General features: G+C 35.7%; 1 protein-coding gene across 4 annotated transcripts in view; it reads right to left on the reverse strand.

Moving 5' to 3' along the window:
• The window catches only part of FNIP1 (folliculin interacting protein 1), a 155,304-nt gene that overhangs the window by 42,059 nt on the left and 94,681 nt on the right, over positions 1–18,564 (reverse strand). For all 4 annotated transcript variants that reach the window (NM_001346114.2, NM_001008738.3, NM_133372.3 and 1 more), the window contains one exon: positions 15,145–15,230. In NM_001346114.2, the coding sequence (NP_001333043.1) occupies positions 15,145–15,230 (86 nt within the window). The remainder of the gene's footprint in view (positions 1–15,144; positions 15,231–18,564) is intronic.

Consider the following 18,564-nt stretch of genomic DNA (forward strand, 5'->3'; position numbering starts at 1 on the left):
TCTCATTATTTGAGGTAGTTATTTTCTATAAAGCCCACTCAAGCACTGAATTAGCAACACTGAACCACTGCCCCTAAGGAAAATAAACAGGTTCCTATGAGCCTCTGGTCACATTTTCATCAAACCCTCAATACATAACCTTGATGTGCCTCTCTGTTTAAGGATATCTTATTTGATGCTGTTGATTCATTAATATTAAACTCATGGCTGACAGCACCATAAATAATGTCTGAAGGAAGCTTATCTAACACATGTATTTTTTCTGTAAGGTACATCACAATCTTCTTACACTGAATATTAGACAGCATTTCAGCACTACATTTGGAAGCCATTTTTAACAGCAAAGTCACTAACAAAAAGCAGAAAAATGCAAAAAAATTGGCACTAAATAAATGTCAAAAAAGTATATTTGTTAACAGTATGAGAATTAAAACAAGAAGGCAAAGCATTAGACCTTGCTTGATCTAAACTAGGAACATATGCGTCAGGCAACTCACATTTTTCATTGCTTTGCACATGTAAACAAATTACTGCAAAAGCACTGCAATTATATTTTGGGGTTACAAATAAATGTTAGCAAGTGGGTGAATTCTAAAATACAAAATCCACAAATGGTGAATATCAATTGTATATGTGAAAGTACTTATATAGGTAGACCTCCTATTGAAAATTATAAAATATTATAAGAATATTTAATATCCCTTTCATATTTGCACAGCAACTGAAGCAAAATAATCAAACAATACAAATGGAAAGGCACATAATAGTGACATATACTTTTACAGATTTTATAACTCGCATGCTGTAAATTCCAGGCAATCTTGAAATTCTAAGTCTAGGCCATTTGTACTATATAATACCACAGCAATTGACTCACAAGTATTTAATTAAAATTTTGAAAAATAAAAAAGTCTTTTAAAATCTAAAAGCAAGATCAGTATCCTGTTTGGAGGGAGTCTTATGACAATATTTACTGTTCTGGTGACTTCAGCTGGATCTATAATGACAGTGTTTCCTCAGAGCCCAAGCAGAAACTTTTGGCCTTTGCCACAAAGCTTGTGACTGCAGAAAAGAATTTGTCAATCCAATAGTATAATTAACTGCAAGTTCAAGGGCAAAGATTCACTGCCTTATACTAATGCAATATGTGATACTCAGAAAGAATCCTGAAGGATTCTTTCAAGCAAATAAGCAAAAAGAACTATTGAAAACATATAATGTACCCACAAAATTTTAAATGTCTTGATTTCAATAAATAAAATAAAATGTCTGGATTTCGATAAAACGTATTAATAATAATTCTGGTGTAAACAAAGTAAACTAAAACAACTTAAACCAGACAAGGCACGGTGGCTCATGCCTGTAATCCCAGTACTGTGGGTGGTTGAGGCAAGAGGATCCCTTGAGGACAAGAGTTCAAGATTAGCCTGGACAACATAGTAACCCCATTATACAACATATTTAAAAAATATTTAAAAATATCAAGGTTCCAGTGAGCTATCCTCTGCCACTGCACTCCTGCCTAGGAGTGTTTTGAAACCCTCTCTCAAAAACAAAAACAATTTAAACCACAAAAAATAAAAAATTACAAATGAAACATCTGATTATTCATTGCACATTTCTTTTATATTACTGGCATAATATCTACTTCAGGGGAAGCAAAACCCTTAAGAATCTTTTTTTTTTTTTTTTTTGAGATGGAGTCTTGCTCTGTTGCCCAGGCTGGAGTGTAGTGGCACAATCTCAGCTCACTGCAACCTCCGCCTCCGAGGCTCCCTGGTTCAAGCAATTCTCCTGCCTCAGGCTCCTCAGTAGCTGGGGCTACAGGCAGCCGCCACTATCCAGCTAATTTTTGTATTTTTAGTAGAGACGGGTTTCACCATGCTGGCCAAGATGATCTCAAACTCCTGACCTCAGATGTTCCACCCTCCTCAGCCTATCAAAGTGCTGGGATTACAGGCGTGAGCCACTGCACCTCGCTCCTTAAGAATCTTTGAGTAAGCTTTCAAGCAATCCTGCCTCACTCCAGTTAAAAAAAAAAAATTCCAACTGTAGATTAAATTTAGACAAATACAAGGCTATAACTTTTCATAGTTCTCAAATACTACTTATATTCATAAGAGGCCTATTTTATAGGTAGAGAAACCACTCTAGTTGTGTGTATGTGTGTGTTTGAATTGTGGTTAAGTTCAATCTTTCAGCTATGTAAAGAGCACAGGCACTGGTGGCACATGCACTGGGCTACAAGGGAATGTATACAGAGTAAAGCTGTCATAAACCATTAGGGATAATAAATAACCAATTTTACCCAATTGATAGTATTTTAGCTTATCAGGATATTAGGTTCAAAATGTCCTGATTTCAATAAAACACACAGACACCTTCGTTTGCATATATAATCACTCTGAAGAATCAGAAATTGCTCTTTATTTCAATACAAAACTGCTCTCAAATGCTGACTCTGACATCCCTGCTAAGAGTTGAACAGTAATTGTGTAAGACAAGGCTTATAGTTCCATTATAGTAGTGCAGAAGAAAGACACAATTTGGTAATTTTTCTCCTTGAAAAGAGTTTTGTCCTTTTTTTAAAGAGATGTGGTCTCACTTTGTCACCCAGGCTGAAGTGCAGTGGCACAATCATAACTCACTGCAACCTTGACTACCTAGGCTCAACCAATCCTGCCAAGCTTCAGCCTCCTAAGTAGCTGGGACTACAGGTGCACGCCACTTGAGCCTGGCTACTTCGAAAATTTTTACTTTAGAGATGAGGTCTTTTATTGATTTTAAATTTTGTGGGTACACTGTAAGTGTAATATAAATTATGGGGTACAATGTGTAATAATCATATCAGGATAAATGGGGTATCCACCATCTTAAGAATATATCCTTTGTTACCAACAATCCAATCATACTCTTTCAGTTACTTTAAAATGTACAACTAAATTATTATTGACTATAGTCACCCTGTTGTGCTATCAACAGACACAGGGTCTTGCTTTTTTTGCCCAGGCTGGTCTCAAAACTCTAAGCAATCCTCTCACCGTGGCCTCCCAAAGTGCTGCGATTACAGGCATGCGCCACCAAGCTTGGCCCCTGAATAAAGTTTAAGCTAGTTATTACCAAAAGAGTTTGTGAAATGTAGATGCTAGCCCCATACCTACTAAACAAACTCTAAGAGTTTGGGAAACAGTTTTCATTATACTTCTCTAGTGACAGCAGTATCTGAATGGTTTTTTTTTCCTTTCTCAAAAAAAAAAAAAAAGCATAGGTTTATGATGTAATTTAAATTCCAAAGAAAAGTCTAGATCAATTTAGGTTGTGGTTTGTTTGGCTTTTTTTTTTTTTTCCTTTGAGACAGGGTCTTGCTCTGTCATGCAAGCTAGAGTGCAATGGCACAATCTCGGCTCACTGTAACCTCTGAATCCCAGGTTCAACTGATCCTCCTGCCTCAGCCTCCCCAGTAGCTAGGATTACAGGCATGCACCACCAATCCTGGCTAATTTTTGTATTGTTTGTAGAGACAGAGTTTCACCATGTTGCCCAGGCTGGTCTTGAACTCCTGGACTCAAATGATCCACCTACCTTGGCCTCACAAAGTGCTGGGATTACAGGCATGAGCTACTATACCTGGCCCAATTTCAGTTTTTAACTCAACAAAGTTTTAAATCTTACTTCAGTTCAATGTATTCTTACATTAAAATATTGATTTAAAAATATGTGAACTTCCAATTTCAGCTTTGACCTGCAAAGAGCTTGGAAGTCATTATTCTTGTTCTCAGAACAAGGGAAAAACTGAAGGAACTGAAAAATCAATGACTTTTCTTAGTTACATCACCAAACTGCGGACAGAGGGAAAACCATCACTCTGAAAACTGAAAAAATGGGTAAATACAGAGAATGACAACTGAGATCAAGTTACCTGAAGCAGAAGCCTTTGGAGCCAATAACCAGCAGGAACACTTAAATAGTAATTGACTAACTGCTGAAGAATGAGTGTGAATTCCTCTCAGTGACAAAAACTCCTAGGGACCTAGTCTTAGGGAGACCTCCCCACTTTCATGGGATACTACCATATTTTCATGGTGAAAATCAGAGAAACATCTGGCTATGGTTCGGACAGAGGTAGTGACAAAGTAACAGTTTTGAAATATTCCTAGAACATTCTCCAAAACAAAGGTCTGCCCTCCAAATAAAACTATTTTACCAGAGCCTTATCTGACTTGAGAGAGAAGCAGCCTTCCTCGCTGGCCTCTGGAAAGAAAAATAGGTGGCAGGGAGAGGGGATGGCTAAGAAATACTTCCAAAGGTCACATCCCAGAAATTCAGACTAAAAAAAAAAAATCAGATTTAATTTTAAGATTACAGAACATTTCCCCTTCCTCTCTCCAACACCTTACTTCCATATCAACATAGCTCCAGTGTAACAAATGCAGATTACAACTAAAAGAGCTGCAGGACACAGAATCTATTCAAAGAAGTAGTTCTTGGGGAAAACCAAAGAAAGAGGAGTTTAAAATAAAAAAAAAAAAAAGGAAACTATGGGAAAGTGAGGCTTCTGGCACCTACAACTAACATTACAGCAAACATTAAACACATCTAAGGCTCCTAGCTAGGTTAATATAAAACTTCATACTAAAATCTTATTAAACTCAGTTCCTATATCCTAATACATCATATATAGCTATCAATGAAAAATTAGAAAGCAACAAAAACTAGTCTGAACAAAGAAAGCATCAGAATCAAACTCAAATTTGGCAAAGATTTTAGAATTATCAGAATGGGAATTGAAAATTATGATAAATATGTTTATTTTATATAATATATATGATTATTGTTGCTCTGATGTTTAAAATAGACAACATGCAAGACCAAATAATGCAACAGCGAGATGGAAAGTCATTTAAAAAATCAAAAGGAAATGCTAGCAATTAAAAAAAAAAAAAAAAGGAGCAGGAATGAAGAATGCTTTTGATGGGCACATCAGCAGACTGGACATGACCAAGGAAAGAATCAATGAACTTGAAGGTATGTCAATAAAAATTCCGAAACTGAAAAGCCAAGAGAATAAAGGATAAAAAATAATATCCAGGAGCTGTGGTACAATTACAAAAGTATACATGTAATAAATACAAAATGGAGAAGTAAAATATATGAATAATAGCTTCGAATTAAAAAAAAATTAGTAACAGACAACAAACCATAGACGCAGGAGGCTCACAGAACACCAAGCAGGATAAATACCAACAAATCTACTCCTATATATATCATACTGAAACTGCAGAAAACCAAAGACAAAATCTTAATGGAAGTAAGAAGGACAAAAACAACCTTACCTATAGAAGAGTAAGAACTGCATTAGAGTTCTTGTTAGAAACTATGCAAAAAAAAAAAGAGACTGGAGAAAAATGGTTAAAACATTGAAAGAAAAACAATAACCTAGAATTCTGTATCCAGCAAAATAATTCAAAAGGAAAAGAGAAAGACTTCCTCAGACCAAAACTGACAGATTTGATGGCAGAAAAAAATGACATTTAATATATGTTGAAAGATATTTTTCAGAGAAAACAGGTTAGAAATGCAAATCTACATAAAAAGAGTATCCAAAAAGTAATAAATGTAAAATAAAGTCTTTCATTTTCCTTATTCTAAATTGACCTAATAGAAAAATAATTGTTTAGGGTAATAAAAATGACAATATATTGAATGATCATAGCTAATGGAAAATTAAATTGAATGACAGCAATGTTATAAGGGATGTGATGTGAGGGAGAAATTGGAATATTTTGTTATGAAGTATGTGCACTCCCTGTGAAGCAGTACATGGTTATTTGAAAGTTGTAAATGTGTATTGCCAACTATAGGACAAACACTAAAAAGTGAAGTTTTTAAGAAATATAAATGACATGCTAAAAGAGGAGAGAAAAATGGAAGCGTTTAACTGCTTAAAACCAGAGAAGACATAAAAAGAGGAGGATAAAAACATAAAGTGAAATAAATAGAAAACTATTACAAATATGATAGATATTAATCCAACTATATCAATTATCACTTCAAATGTGAGTGGTCTTAATACACCAGTTAAAAGGCAGAGAACCAACTTTATGTTGTCTACAAGAAACCCATTTTAAATATAAAGTCAGAGATAGATTAAAAGTTAAGGTATAGAAGCCGGGTGCAGTGGCTCACGCCTGTAATCCTAGCACTTTGGGAGGCCGAGGAGGGTGGATCGCGAGGTCAGGAGATCGAGGCCATCCTGGCTAACACGGTGAAACCCCATCTCTACTAAAAATACAAAAAAAAATTAGCCGGGCATGGTGGCGGGTGCCTGGAGTCCCAGCTACTCAGGAGGCTGAGGCAGGAGAATGGTGTGAACCCGGGAGGCGGAGCTTGCAGTGAGCCAAGATCACGCCACTGCACTCCAGCCTGGGTGACAGAGCAATACTCCATCTCAAAAATAAAATAAAATAAAATAAGATAAAATAAAATAAAAGTTAAGGTATAGAAAAAGATATACTACATTAACACTAACCAAAAGAAAGCTGGAATAACCGATAAGGTTAGGCTTTGTGTCCCTACCCAAATCTCATCTTGAATTGTAAGCCCATAATCCCCATAATCCCCACATGTCAAGGGATCAAGACCATGTGGAGGTATTTGAATCACGGAGGCGGTTTCCCCCATGCTGTTCTTGTGATAGTGACTGAGTTCTCATCAGATCTGATGGTTTTATAAGGAGCTCTTCTTTCCCCTTCGCTCGGCACTTTTCCTTCCTGCTGCCTTGTGAAGAAGGTGCCTTGCTTCCTCTTCACACTCCGCCATAATTACGAGTTTCCTGAGGCCTCCACAGCCATGCTGAACTGTGAATCAATTAAACCTCTTCCCATTATAAATTACCCAGTCTTGGGCAGTTCTTTATAGCAGTACGAAAATGGACTAATAGCCGTGTTAACTTCAGACAAAGCAGAGGTCAGAACAGTGAAAATTATCAGAGATAAAGAGGGGCACTTCATAATGATAAGGAGCTAATTTTCCAAGAAGACATAATTATCCTTAATGAATTTGCAGTTAACAAAAAAGCATCAAAGTATGTGAGGCAAAAACAGAGCTGCAAGAAGAAATAAATCCACTATTTTCCTTAGAAACTTCAACACTCCTCTATCAGTAAATGACGTATCCATCAGGCGGAAAATTAGTAAGGATATAATAGAGCTGAACAGTACCATCAGTCAACTGAATCTAATTAACATTTATACAATACCTCATCCAAAAACAGGAGAATACACAATCTTCCCATGCTGACAGGGAACATTTGCCAAAATGGACCACATTCTAGGCCATAAGACACACCTTAGCAAATTTAAAATAATACAAATCATACAATGTATGTTCTCAAATCACAAACTAGAAATCAGTAAGAAAAAGATAACTGGAAAATCCCCAAATACTTGGAGATTGAAAACATGCATCTAAATAACACATAGGTCAAAGAAGACATCTTGAAAGAAATTTTAAAATATTTTGAACTAAATGTGAATTCAACTTATCAATACTTGTGAATGCAGCAAAAGGAGTGCTTAAAGGGAAATTAATAGTATTGAATACATATATTAGAAAAGAAGATCTAAAATCAACGATCTAAGCTTTAATCTTAGGAAACTAGACAAACAGCAACATAAAACTAAAGCATTCAAGAGATAAGGAATAGTAAAATCTAGAGCAGAAATTATTGTAATTGAACAGAAAATAGAGAATATCAACAAAACCAAACGCTGGTTCTCTGAAAAGATCAGTAAAATTGTTAAGCCTTTATCAGGAAACCAAGAAAAACACAAAAAGACACAAATTATAAATAACAGAAACAAAAGAGGGGTATCACTATAGATACTATGAACGTTAAAAGGATAATTAAGGAATTATATGAACAAGTCTATGCCCACAAATTTAGATGAAATGCATCAATTTTTTGAAAAACACACACTGCCAAAACTCACATAAGGAGAAATAGATTAACTTGAATAGCCTATGTCTACTTAAAAAATTGAATCAATAATTATCTACTCCTGGCAAACAAAGAATAAAGGGGAACTACCTCAACTTGAAAGAATATCTACAAGAAACCTACAGCTAACATCATACTTATGGTGAGAGACTGGATGTTTTTTTTCCTATGACTGGGAGCAAGGTCAAGATGTGTCCTCTCACAACTCTCATTCAATATCATACTGGAAGTTATAGCTAGGGCTGTAAGAAAGACACAAAGATACAAAAAAGAGGGAAGGAAGGAAAGAAGGAAGACAGAAAAAGTATACATGTGGAAAGGAAATAAAACAGTCTTTATTTGTGGAAGACGATTTTCTATATAAAAAGTTTCAAAGAATCAATCGAAAGAAAAAAACAACTGTTGGAACTAATAAATGATTATAATGAGGTTGCAGAATACAATGTAAATATACAAAAGTCAACTGCTTTCCTACAGACCAGCAATGAACAACTGAAATGTAAAATTAAAAACAATACCATTTACATTAGGTTCCCTCCCCCTGACCCCCCCAAAAAACATGTATAAATCTGAGAAAATATACACAGGGTCTATATGAGGAAAAGTATAAAATTCTGTTGAAAGGAATCAAAGATGATCTAAATAAATGGGAATAGTTTCCATGGTAATGAATAGGAAGACTCTATTGTTAAAACGTCAATTCTTCCCAAGTTGATCCATAGATTCAACACAATCCCAATGAGAATCTCAGCAAGTTATTTTGTGGACATCTACAAACTGATGTTAAAGTTTATATAGAAACAAAAAAGACCCAGAATAATCAACACAATACTTAAGAATAAAAACAAAGTTGGAGGACTGATACTACTGAACTTCAAGATTTACTATAAAGATATAGTAATTAAGATAGCATGGGGATTGGGAGATAAGGGAGATGTTGGTCAAAGGACACAAAATTTGGCATGAGGGCTCATGCATGTAATCCCAGTACTCTGGGAGGCCAAGGTGGGCAGATCGCTTGAGGCCAGGAGTTTGAGACCAGCCTGGCCAACATGACAAAACCCTGCCTCTACTAAAAATACAAAAATTAGCCAAGTGTGGAGGCACACACCTGTAGTCCCAGCAACTTGGGAAGATGGGGCATGAGAATCACTTGAACCCAGGAGGTGGAAGTTGTAGTGAACCAAAATCGCACCACTGCACTCCAGCCTGGAGGACAGAGTGAGACTGTCTAAAAAAAAAATAAATTTAAAAAAAAAAATTTCAGGGCTCCAGAGAGCTATTACACATCATGGCAACTACAGTTAATAATAATATTATATACTGGAATATTGCTAAGAGTAGATTTTAAGTCTTTTAATGACAAAAAATGATAATTACGTGAGGTAATAGATATGTTAAATAGCTTGATTTAGCCATTCCACATGTGTACACATATCAAAACATCATTTTATACACTATAAAGATACACAATTTTTACCTGTCAACTAAAAAAAAAAAAAGCATGGTAATAGCTAAATATATACATATATATATATATATATACACATATATATATATACATATATATATATATATATATATATATATAGTTACAGAGATCAACAGAACAGAACAGAATAGAACAGAACAGGGAGCCCCCAAACAGATTCACACAACTAGAGTATAAACTGATCTTTGACAACGGAGCAAAGGTAATTCAATTGAGAAAAGAAAGTATTTTCAGCAAATGGTGCTGCAACGACTGGACATCCACATGTAAAAGCATGAATCTAGACAAAGACCTTACAGTTTTCATAAAATTAATTCATAATGGATCATAGTCATAAGCATAAAATGCAAAACTATAAAGCAGACAGAAAATTACACTGGAGATAATCTAAATGACCTTTGGTTAGGTGATGAGTTTTTAGATACAGCACCAAATACTATACAGGAAAGAAAAATTGTTAAGTTGGACTGCATTAAAATTAAAAACTCTGCTCTGTGAAAGACACTATTATAAGAAGAAGCCACAAACTGTAAGAAGTATTTTTTTTAAATCTGACAAAGAACTGGTATCCAAAACAAAACAAAACAACAACAACAAAAACCGTCAAAACTCAACAATAAGAAAAAAAAGCCAACTTAAAAAGGACAAAAAACCCAAACAGACACTTCACCGAAAAAGATACACAGATGGCAAATAAGCATTTGAAAAAATGCTCAACATATGTCATTGGGGAACTTCAAATTAAAACAATAATGATACATCACTACCTGCCTCTTAGAATGGCTAAAATTGACAAACTGACCATATCAAATGCTGACAAGGATGTAGAGCAATAGGAACTCTCACTAATTGCTGGTGGGAATGCAAAATGGTACAGTCATTTTGGATGACAGTTTGATCATTTCTTACAAAGCTAAACATAGTTTTTCCATAATATCCAGCAATCATGCTCCTATGTATTTTTCCAACTGAGTTGAAAACATGTCCACATAAAACCCCAAACATGAATATTTATGGCAGTATTATTTATAATCACCAAAAACTACAAGCAAGATATCTTTCGATAGGTGAATGAAAATGAATAAACAAACTGTGTTACATCTATATAATGGAATATTACTCGATGATGAAAAGAAATGAGCTATTAGGTAAAAACAACAGCAACACCACCACCACCACCAAGGAAGAATCTTACGAAAGACTGGCTAAGTGAAAGAAGCCAGTCTGAAAAGTCCACATAGCATATGATTTCAAGCATACAACATTCTGGAATTGATAAAAATATAGAGAAAGTAAAGAGGTAAAGAGATCAGTGGTTGCCAGCAGTTAGTGGGTAGGGATAAACAGGTAAAGCACAGGGGATTTTTAGGGCGGTGAAATTATTCTATATGATACTATAATGGTGTGTATATGACATCATACATTTAATAAAAACCATATAACTATACAACAGAGTGAACTTTAATGTAAATTTTGGTCTTTGGTTAGTAATAATGTATTAACATTAGTTCATTAGTTTTAACAAATATATCATACTAATGCAATACATTAATAACTGACGCCAGGTGTGGTGGCTCACACCTGTAATCCCAGCACTTTGGGAGGCCAAGGCACACAGATCACTTGAGACCAGGAGTTTGACACCAGTCTGGCCAACATAGTGAAACCTCATCTCTATTTAAAATATAAAAATTGGCTGGGTGTAGTAGTGCACGCCTGTAAACCCAGCTATTCAGGAGGCTGAGGCACATAATCACTTGAACCCTGGGAGGCAGAGGCTGCAGTGAGTTGAGATCGTGCTACTGCACTCCAGCCTGGGCCACAGAGTGAGACACTGTCTCAAATAAATAAATAAATAAATAAATAAATAAATAAATAAATAAATAAATAAAGCATTAACTGGGAAAACTGTAGGTTGGGGAAGAGGGCTATATGAAAAAACTGCTATTTGCTCAATTTTTCTGTAAATCTGAAACTGTTCAAATTAAGTCTCTTCATTGTGTGTGTGGGCACGTGCGTGCATAAACTCATGCATCAAACTGGAAAAATAAAGCTATATACAGCTATTTATACTCTTAACTGATAATACAGAGTGGCCAAGAAATAGACAATATAAGAGATAGGCATGTCTTAGAATTTACCATTTAGTTATTGTTTCGTTTTGCTGTCCCCCACTCCCACTCTCAATATTCCAGAAGAAAAGAAAGAAGGGATAGTCATTATTCAGCCTGTGCAGGTCTAGCTCTTCAGACACAAACATGGATAGTATCAGAAGATGCACGAAAATCAGACTGCACTACAAATTAAAAAAGAATAAGGTCTAGATTAATGGCTATAAATCACCAACTCCTAAAACCGAAGTATAAACTAATAATCTTCCGAGGCCTGGCAGGAATAAAATTATACAATATATGGGTTAATACAACTGACTGAGAGAGATACAGCCTATGCCAAACTAAAGAAAGCTTGCCTGGCCTACAGGCCTAAAGGTTCAAATGTTTATTAAAAAAACACAGTAGTCACATAAAATGTCTGCTGGCTGGCTGGAATTCCATCACCTACAATTTACCTGCTTTCAAAAACTGTGTTCAACATTGAGAAAACAGAAAACCACTTATCTTGAGCTTAATATGGGCTTCTTTTTCCTTAACTGTAGAACACTTACTGAAATATCAAATCAATGGTTAGGATATGTATCCTAGGCAGGCCTAAACCATTAACACTTGGTTTAAGCAACTTTGTATAATTTACCTCCTAAATCATAAAGAAGATACCTAAACATTTATATTAAAACAATACAACTCAAAGAAATTGTCATCTCAAGCAAATAATCCTGATGTTAAAATTATTTCCATCTTACATTCATAAAATCATCAAATTTTGTGTTTTCACAGAACTTCTAGAAACATACAAACAGGGCTATATAAATTGAGAAGTTATGAAGCCAAAGTAGACTGTACATCAGGAAGCTCATAAAAGTTGCTCTAAATTCCCTCTGCAAATGTATTTGATTTCTCCTACACTTCATCTATAAAAAACATGCATATAATGCTTTTATTTAATCATGAATGGCACCCAAAATGTGATAATCTCAACCTTTATGGTTTAAGTATGAAGAAATGAAATTATGAATAACTTTGCATATAATTCAGATATAAAGAGTGAAGATGCCAGTAAACTAAAAAAAACCCACACTGATTACCGTATCACTAGAGTTTCAGTGTCCCAAAATGAAAAAGCTTTAGAGATTGATTTCAAAACAATGTAAATATGCTTAACACTACTGAACTGTACACCTAAAAAATGATTTATAAAGCTAAATCTAACGTTATAGATATTTTTACAATAAAAATATTAAATTAAAATTATTTGTTAGCATGCTCCATATAATAAATGCCTAAAATTAATGTTAAAATAAAATTAATATATGGCAGAAATATCATCTCAAATACAGTTTTTGCCTGTACAAATTATTTCTAATACCAAAAAATAATATAAGGTGAAATTAAATTCTCTCTGTTTTTCTCTACATTTCCCCTAACCACTGAGTGTACTGTACAGAACAGTAAGATATATTTAACTAGCTTTTCATATCTTTTATCCTAAACATTATGATGCATAAACCAAATGAATGAGTAGACATTATTCTCTTTCTCAATAATTGAGTCAAGTAAATGATTATTATACAATAGTCATAAACTTCTTCAATTTAAATCTACCACTCTTTAGCTCAGTTTTAAAAATGTTTTATATATTTTAAAAGTTTTAAAATTTTATATATATGTATGGCATGCCTACAATTTCATCATAGCAATCCTGCAGTTACACAAACTAAAACAGCCTTTCACTCCAAGATGTGATGGCCCATTTAAACAAACAACAATCTAGAAGATCCCTGCCCCAGTAAGAGACCACACAGTTGTCAATAAAAAAAATGTAGTTTTTCTAAAAGTAAGGTACATAGACTACTGGTAATAATAAAATTTACACAGTGGTACGTAGTGTACACAATGTGGTATACAAATACACATTTATTATTATTTTTGTGACGGGGTCTCACTATGTTGCCCAGGCTAGTCTCGAACTCCTGAGCTCAAGCAATCTAACCACCTTGGCCTCCCAAAGTACTGGGATTACAGGCACATGCCAACACGCCTGGCCCAGATACATATTTTTAATTTTAGTTACTATAAATTTATTTTTATAGCTAGTTTTATTATGGTAAAGCATATTGTTTCCCTATCTAGGGTAATGAAGTTTCATGTTGAAATAGATTTATTTAGGTATAAAAGATGGTCAAATTTAAAGAGAAACACTAAATTTAAAAAGTATACATGATATATAAATTTGGCAAAATTGTTAAGATATGATGTAAGTGACTTAAGTTGGGGAAGCACTGCTGTAGGTTATGTTTACCATAGGCCAGGCTCAGTGGCTCATGCCTGTAATCCCAGCACTTTGGGAGGCCAAGGTGGGCGGATCATTTGAGGTCAGGAGTTTGAGAACAGCCTGGCCAACATGGTGAAACCCCGTCTCTACTAAAAATAAAAAAAAAATTAGCCAAGCATGGTGGCACGCGTCTGTAATCCCAGCTACTGAGGAGGCTGAGGCAGGAGAATTGCTTGAACCCAGGAGGCAGAGGTTGCAGTGAGGCAAGATCACGCCACTGCACTCCAGCCTGGGTGACAGAGCAAGACTCCACCTCAAAAAAAAAAAAAAAAAAAAAGAAAGAAAAAGAAAAGAAAAGAATGGTGCCACTAATGTCAGGCATTCTGCTAAGTACCTTACACACACAATTTCATTTGATCCTTATAACAATCTATTAGATTATTACTAAATTGAATTTACCTATTTTATACTAGAAAACTAGGGGTCAAAAACGCTAATGCACTTGCCCAAGATCACCAGAGGTAGTAAATGACAGAGCCAGGGTTAAAATCCACGTCTGTCTGACAGATTCTAGAGTCTTAGTTTTCACTCCCTATGCTATTCTATCTCTCTAGTCTAAAGGAGGAAAGATTGAGAAAATGAAGTAGACCTAAACCGAACCTCTTGTCGAGGGAGACATATCAGTCACTTAGTATACTAATTCCCAACATAACATCATTTGTAGTATGTATGTCACATAGTTAGAAGACAGCTACAGCAGTTGTTGGGGCTTCAGGTACAAGCTTTGTTGAGCCAGAAAACCCTAGCGGAAGGACTATTCACTGTGCCATATCTAGAGGAAGGATCAAGCAACAAAGCCATTTAGAATATCAAGTGCATGTTCCTTATATCCATATATCCTTGTATCTCATGTATTCAAGAATATCTGATTACTACCACTGGTTAAATAACACTTAACAGTCCCTACATCTAGGATCCCAAGAGAGAACAAAGCATACTTTTGCTAGAACAAGGGTCTTTCCTGGTCATATTTGCTTGTCAAATGGCCCAATACTGAAAAACATACCACTGATGGCTCTCAATGTGCTTGATTCTCAAGCACATTTGAGATGTAATAACATAGGAGCCAATGGTCTACTGAATTACACCATCATATGACTATAGGACAAAGAAATCAAATTTTATTAGAACAAGTTAAAGAAAAAATGAATCTTCCTGTGTACACTATGAATTACTGCATTATGGAAAGCTGGGCAATATGTACCTGAATTCATTTAGGGCATCAACTATTCGATTATATGCCAAACTTCTCTGACTGGCATCAGCTGATCTCCGGCTCATTTTCATAGCCTTGAAAACAATCATTGAGATAGTTAATTCTTATGTTAATCATGAGCAAAACATGGAAAAAAGTCTTTTTTAGACAGAGTCACATATTTACACAACGCTCTATCAAAATTCTTATCGAGAAAGAAATAAAGAAAGTAAATGCATTTATTGTGGCTTTTTCTTCTACACATTTGGTAATTAATGAATGGTTGAACAAAGTTCAAAATTTTTGACTGTTTTCAATCTCTTATTTTTAAAACTGCAGACTGTCAACACATAAAAAAACTGATGTTGACAGTTTCTGGGTTACAAAAAACTTATTTTTCCCAAACAGAACAAGACATAATGATAACTCAGTAACAACAACTCATGGTTTTATGCTTATATTTCACAGATAACACTTCTGTTAACTCCTTTTTTTTTTTTTTTTTGACAAGAGTCTCACTCTGTCACCTAGGCTGGAGTGCAATGGCGCGATCTCGGCTCACTGCAACCTCTGCCACCCGGGTTCAAGCGATTTTCCTGCCTCAGTCTCCCGAGTAGCTGGGATTACAGGTGCCTGCCACCACGCCTGGCTAATTTTTATATTTTTAGTAGAGATGGGGTTTCACCATGTTGGCCAGGCTAGCCTTGAACTCCTGACCTCGTGATCCACCCACCTCAGCCTCCCAAAGTGCTGGGGTTATAGGCATGAGCCACTGCCCCCAGCCCTGTTAACTCTTTTTTAAAAATTTGCCCAGCCTGGCCAACATGGCAAAATCCTGTCTATACTAAAAACATGAAAATTAGCCAGGTGTGTTGACACACGCCTGTAATCCCAGCTATGAAAGAGGCTGAGGCATGAGAATCGCTTGAACCCAGAAGTCTGAAGTTGCAGTGAGCTGAGATCATGCCACTGCTGCACTCCAGCCTGGGTGATGGAGTAAGACTGTTTCAAAAAAAAAAAAAAAAAAAAAGGGAATATAAAGATTCTACAATAAGATAGCTAAAGGTGTTAGTAATATTTGCTTTTTTTTTTTTTTAAGACAGAGTCCTGCTCTGTTGCCAGCTGGAGTGCAGTGGCACAATCTTGGCTCACTGCAACCTCTGCCTCCCAGGTTCAAGCGATTCTCCTGCCTCAGCCTCCCGAGTAGCTGGGACTACAGGCACACACCACCATGCCCCGCTAATTTTTGTATTTTTAGTAGAGATGGGGTTTCACCATGTTGACCAAGATGGTCTCGATCTCTTGACCTTGTGATCCGCCTGCCTCGGCCTCCCAAAATGCTGGGGTTATAGGCATGAGCCACCATGCCTGGCCAATATTTGCTTTCTTAAAATATATTTAGCCAAGGTTAAAAAGCCTTAATCTAGGTAGGCAAAAAGGGGATCAGGATTAGGATATGGAGGTCAAAAAGAACTTTAATCTTTAACACTTTTTCAAAGAGAATTGAATTCTGTATTCTTTATATAATTACAAAGTGATTAAATATTGTTTAAAAAAATAATTAAGATGTCAGCCTACTTTAGGCCAGAAATCATGTTCCTGTACACCCAAAAGCTTCAGAGGGTGAAAGTGAAACACGCTTTATGTTTTTTCAAACTGTTAAGAGACTGGCAATTTATAAAGAAGTGAATATTATTTTGCTAGAATTTGGTAGTGTTCTTCCTTAATCTTATCAGCAATGCTATTTTTAAATTAAATCACAAATCTCAAAAGATAGAAGACTTCAAAATAATTGCCAAGGTGTTCAGAAACAAAATCCATAGCTTTTATTTAAAAAAAAAAATAGTCTGAAAACTGGCCCTAGAAGATAACTTCTTTGGATGGTACAATATTCACTATTATATTCTATTCTTAATAATATTCTATCATTAAGTAACTACTATAGAACTTTAAAAATTAAGTCCCATTCACTTATGTAAAAGCATTCATTTAATTTCATCTTTCAGCTTTAATAAAAAATGCGATACTACAATTGAACAAATATCCAAACAACTATAAGCATTAACAATGTACATTTTAGGTCGGGGTCCCCAGCCTCTGGGCCGTGGACCAGTACCCGTCAGTGGCCTGTCAGGAATTGGGTCGAGCAAGCAAGTGAGCGAGCATTACTGCCTGAGCGCTACCTCCTGTCACATCAGTGGCAGCATTAGATTCTCATAGGAGCGCATACCCTATTGTGAACCGTGCATGCAAGGGATCTACGTTGCACACTCTTATGAGAATCTAATGCCTCTGAAACCATGGCAACTCCCCACCTCCCCAGCCCCATCCGTGAAAAAATTATCTTCTACAAAGGGTCCCTGGTTGCCAAAAAGGCTGGGGACTGCTGCTTTAGGTTACAGAATTATCAAAGCGTTAAAACATGAAAACACTTGAAAAGTAATCTTTAATGAGTTCTATAATGCCTATTTCAAGTTTTATACAAAGTTTGAAATACTTCTCCAAATAACTAAAAATGTCAGTTCACCCACAACTTATTACTGTGTGTGATGACTTTGGCTAGACTACAAAATGTGAGTGCAGCCAATTGAAGAAATGTAATCAGTGTCTAACTTAAGAAAAGGTAAATGAAAATGGCCTTTACTCATTTGTTCAATAAAAATGTATTGCTAATGAACTATTTATTTTTTGACATACTCAATATGAATAACTAACATCTATGTCTTCTCTAAAGGCAGATCATCCTTAGTCACTAATGAGTTATTGAGATACATCCTTTCCTTTCTAAACCATTCTAACGGGTCTACCCACCTCTCGTCTCTTACTCCAGTCTCTTCAAAACGCACTACCAAGTGCTCGTTTCAGCAGCCATATACAAAACACACTGCCAAGTTAATCTCCCCAAAGTACAACTTGCAAACAGCCTTAAAGACAAAGTCAGAACTCCCTGGCAAGCACGCTACATTTTTTGTCATCAGGTACTCATTAACTTCGCCAGTTGTACCTCTCACTATTCCTCTTTGTATCCTTTCCCTTCCACAGACTGTTGCAAAAAACTCTGGTGACAGCCACTGATTTTATCAGCTCAACTTCTGGGAATCTCCTCTAAAAAATAATCTGGAAAATTCGCCAAGATGTTAACGATAGGGTAGCAACAATTGTGCAAAAGTAGAAATGGCCTAACAGGGAAACTGTTACTTAAATTGAGGAGACCTACTAAAATATATGTAAGAACCATTTACAATAACTTGAGAAATGTGTATGTGACAATGATGTTTTTTATTTTACTATTTGAGATAGGGACTCACTCTGTTGCTACAGTGCAGAGGCACAATCACAACTCACTACAGCCTCGACCTTCTGAGCTCAAGCACCCCTCCCACCTCGGCCTCCCTAGTAGCTGAGACTACTAGTGTGCTCCCCCATGCC

The sequence above is a fragment of the Homo sapiens genome, chromosome 5 (genome assembly GCF_000001405.40).
Source record: "Homo sapiens chromosome 5, GRCh38.p14 Primary Assembly".
NCBI classification, from domain to species: domain Eukaryota; kingdom Metazoa; phylum Chordata; class Mammalia; order Primates; family Hominidae; genus Homo; species Homo sapiens.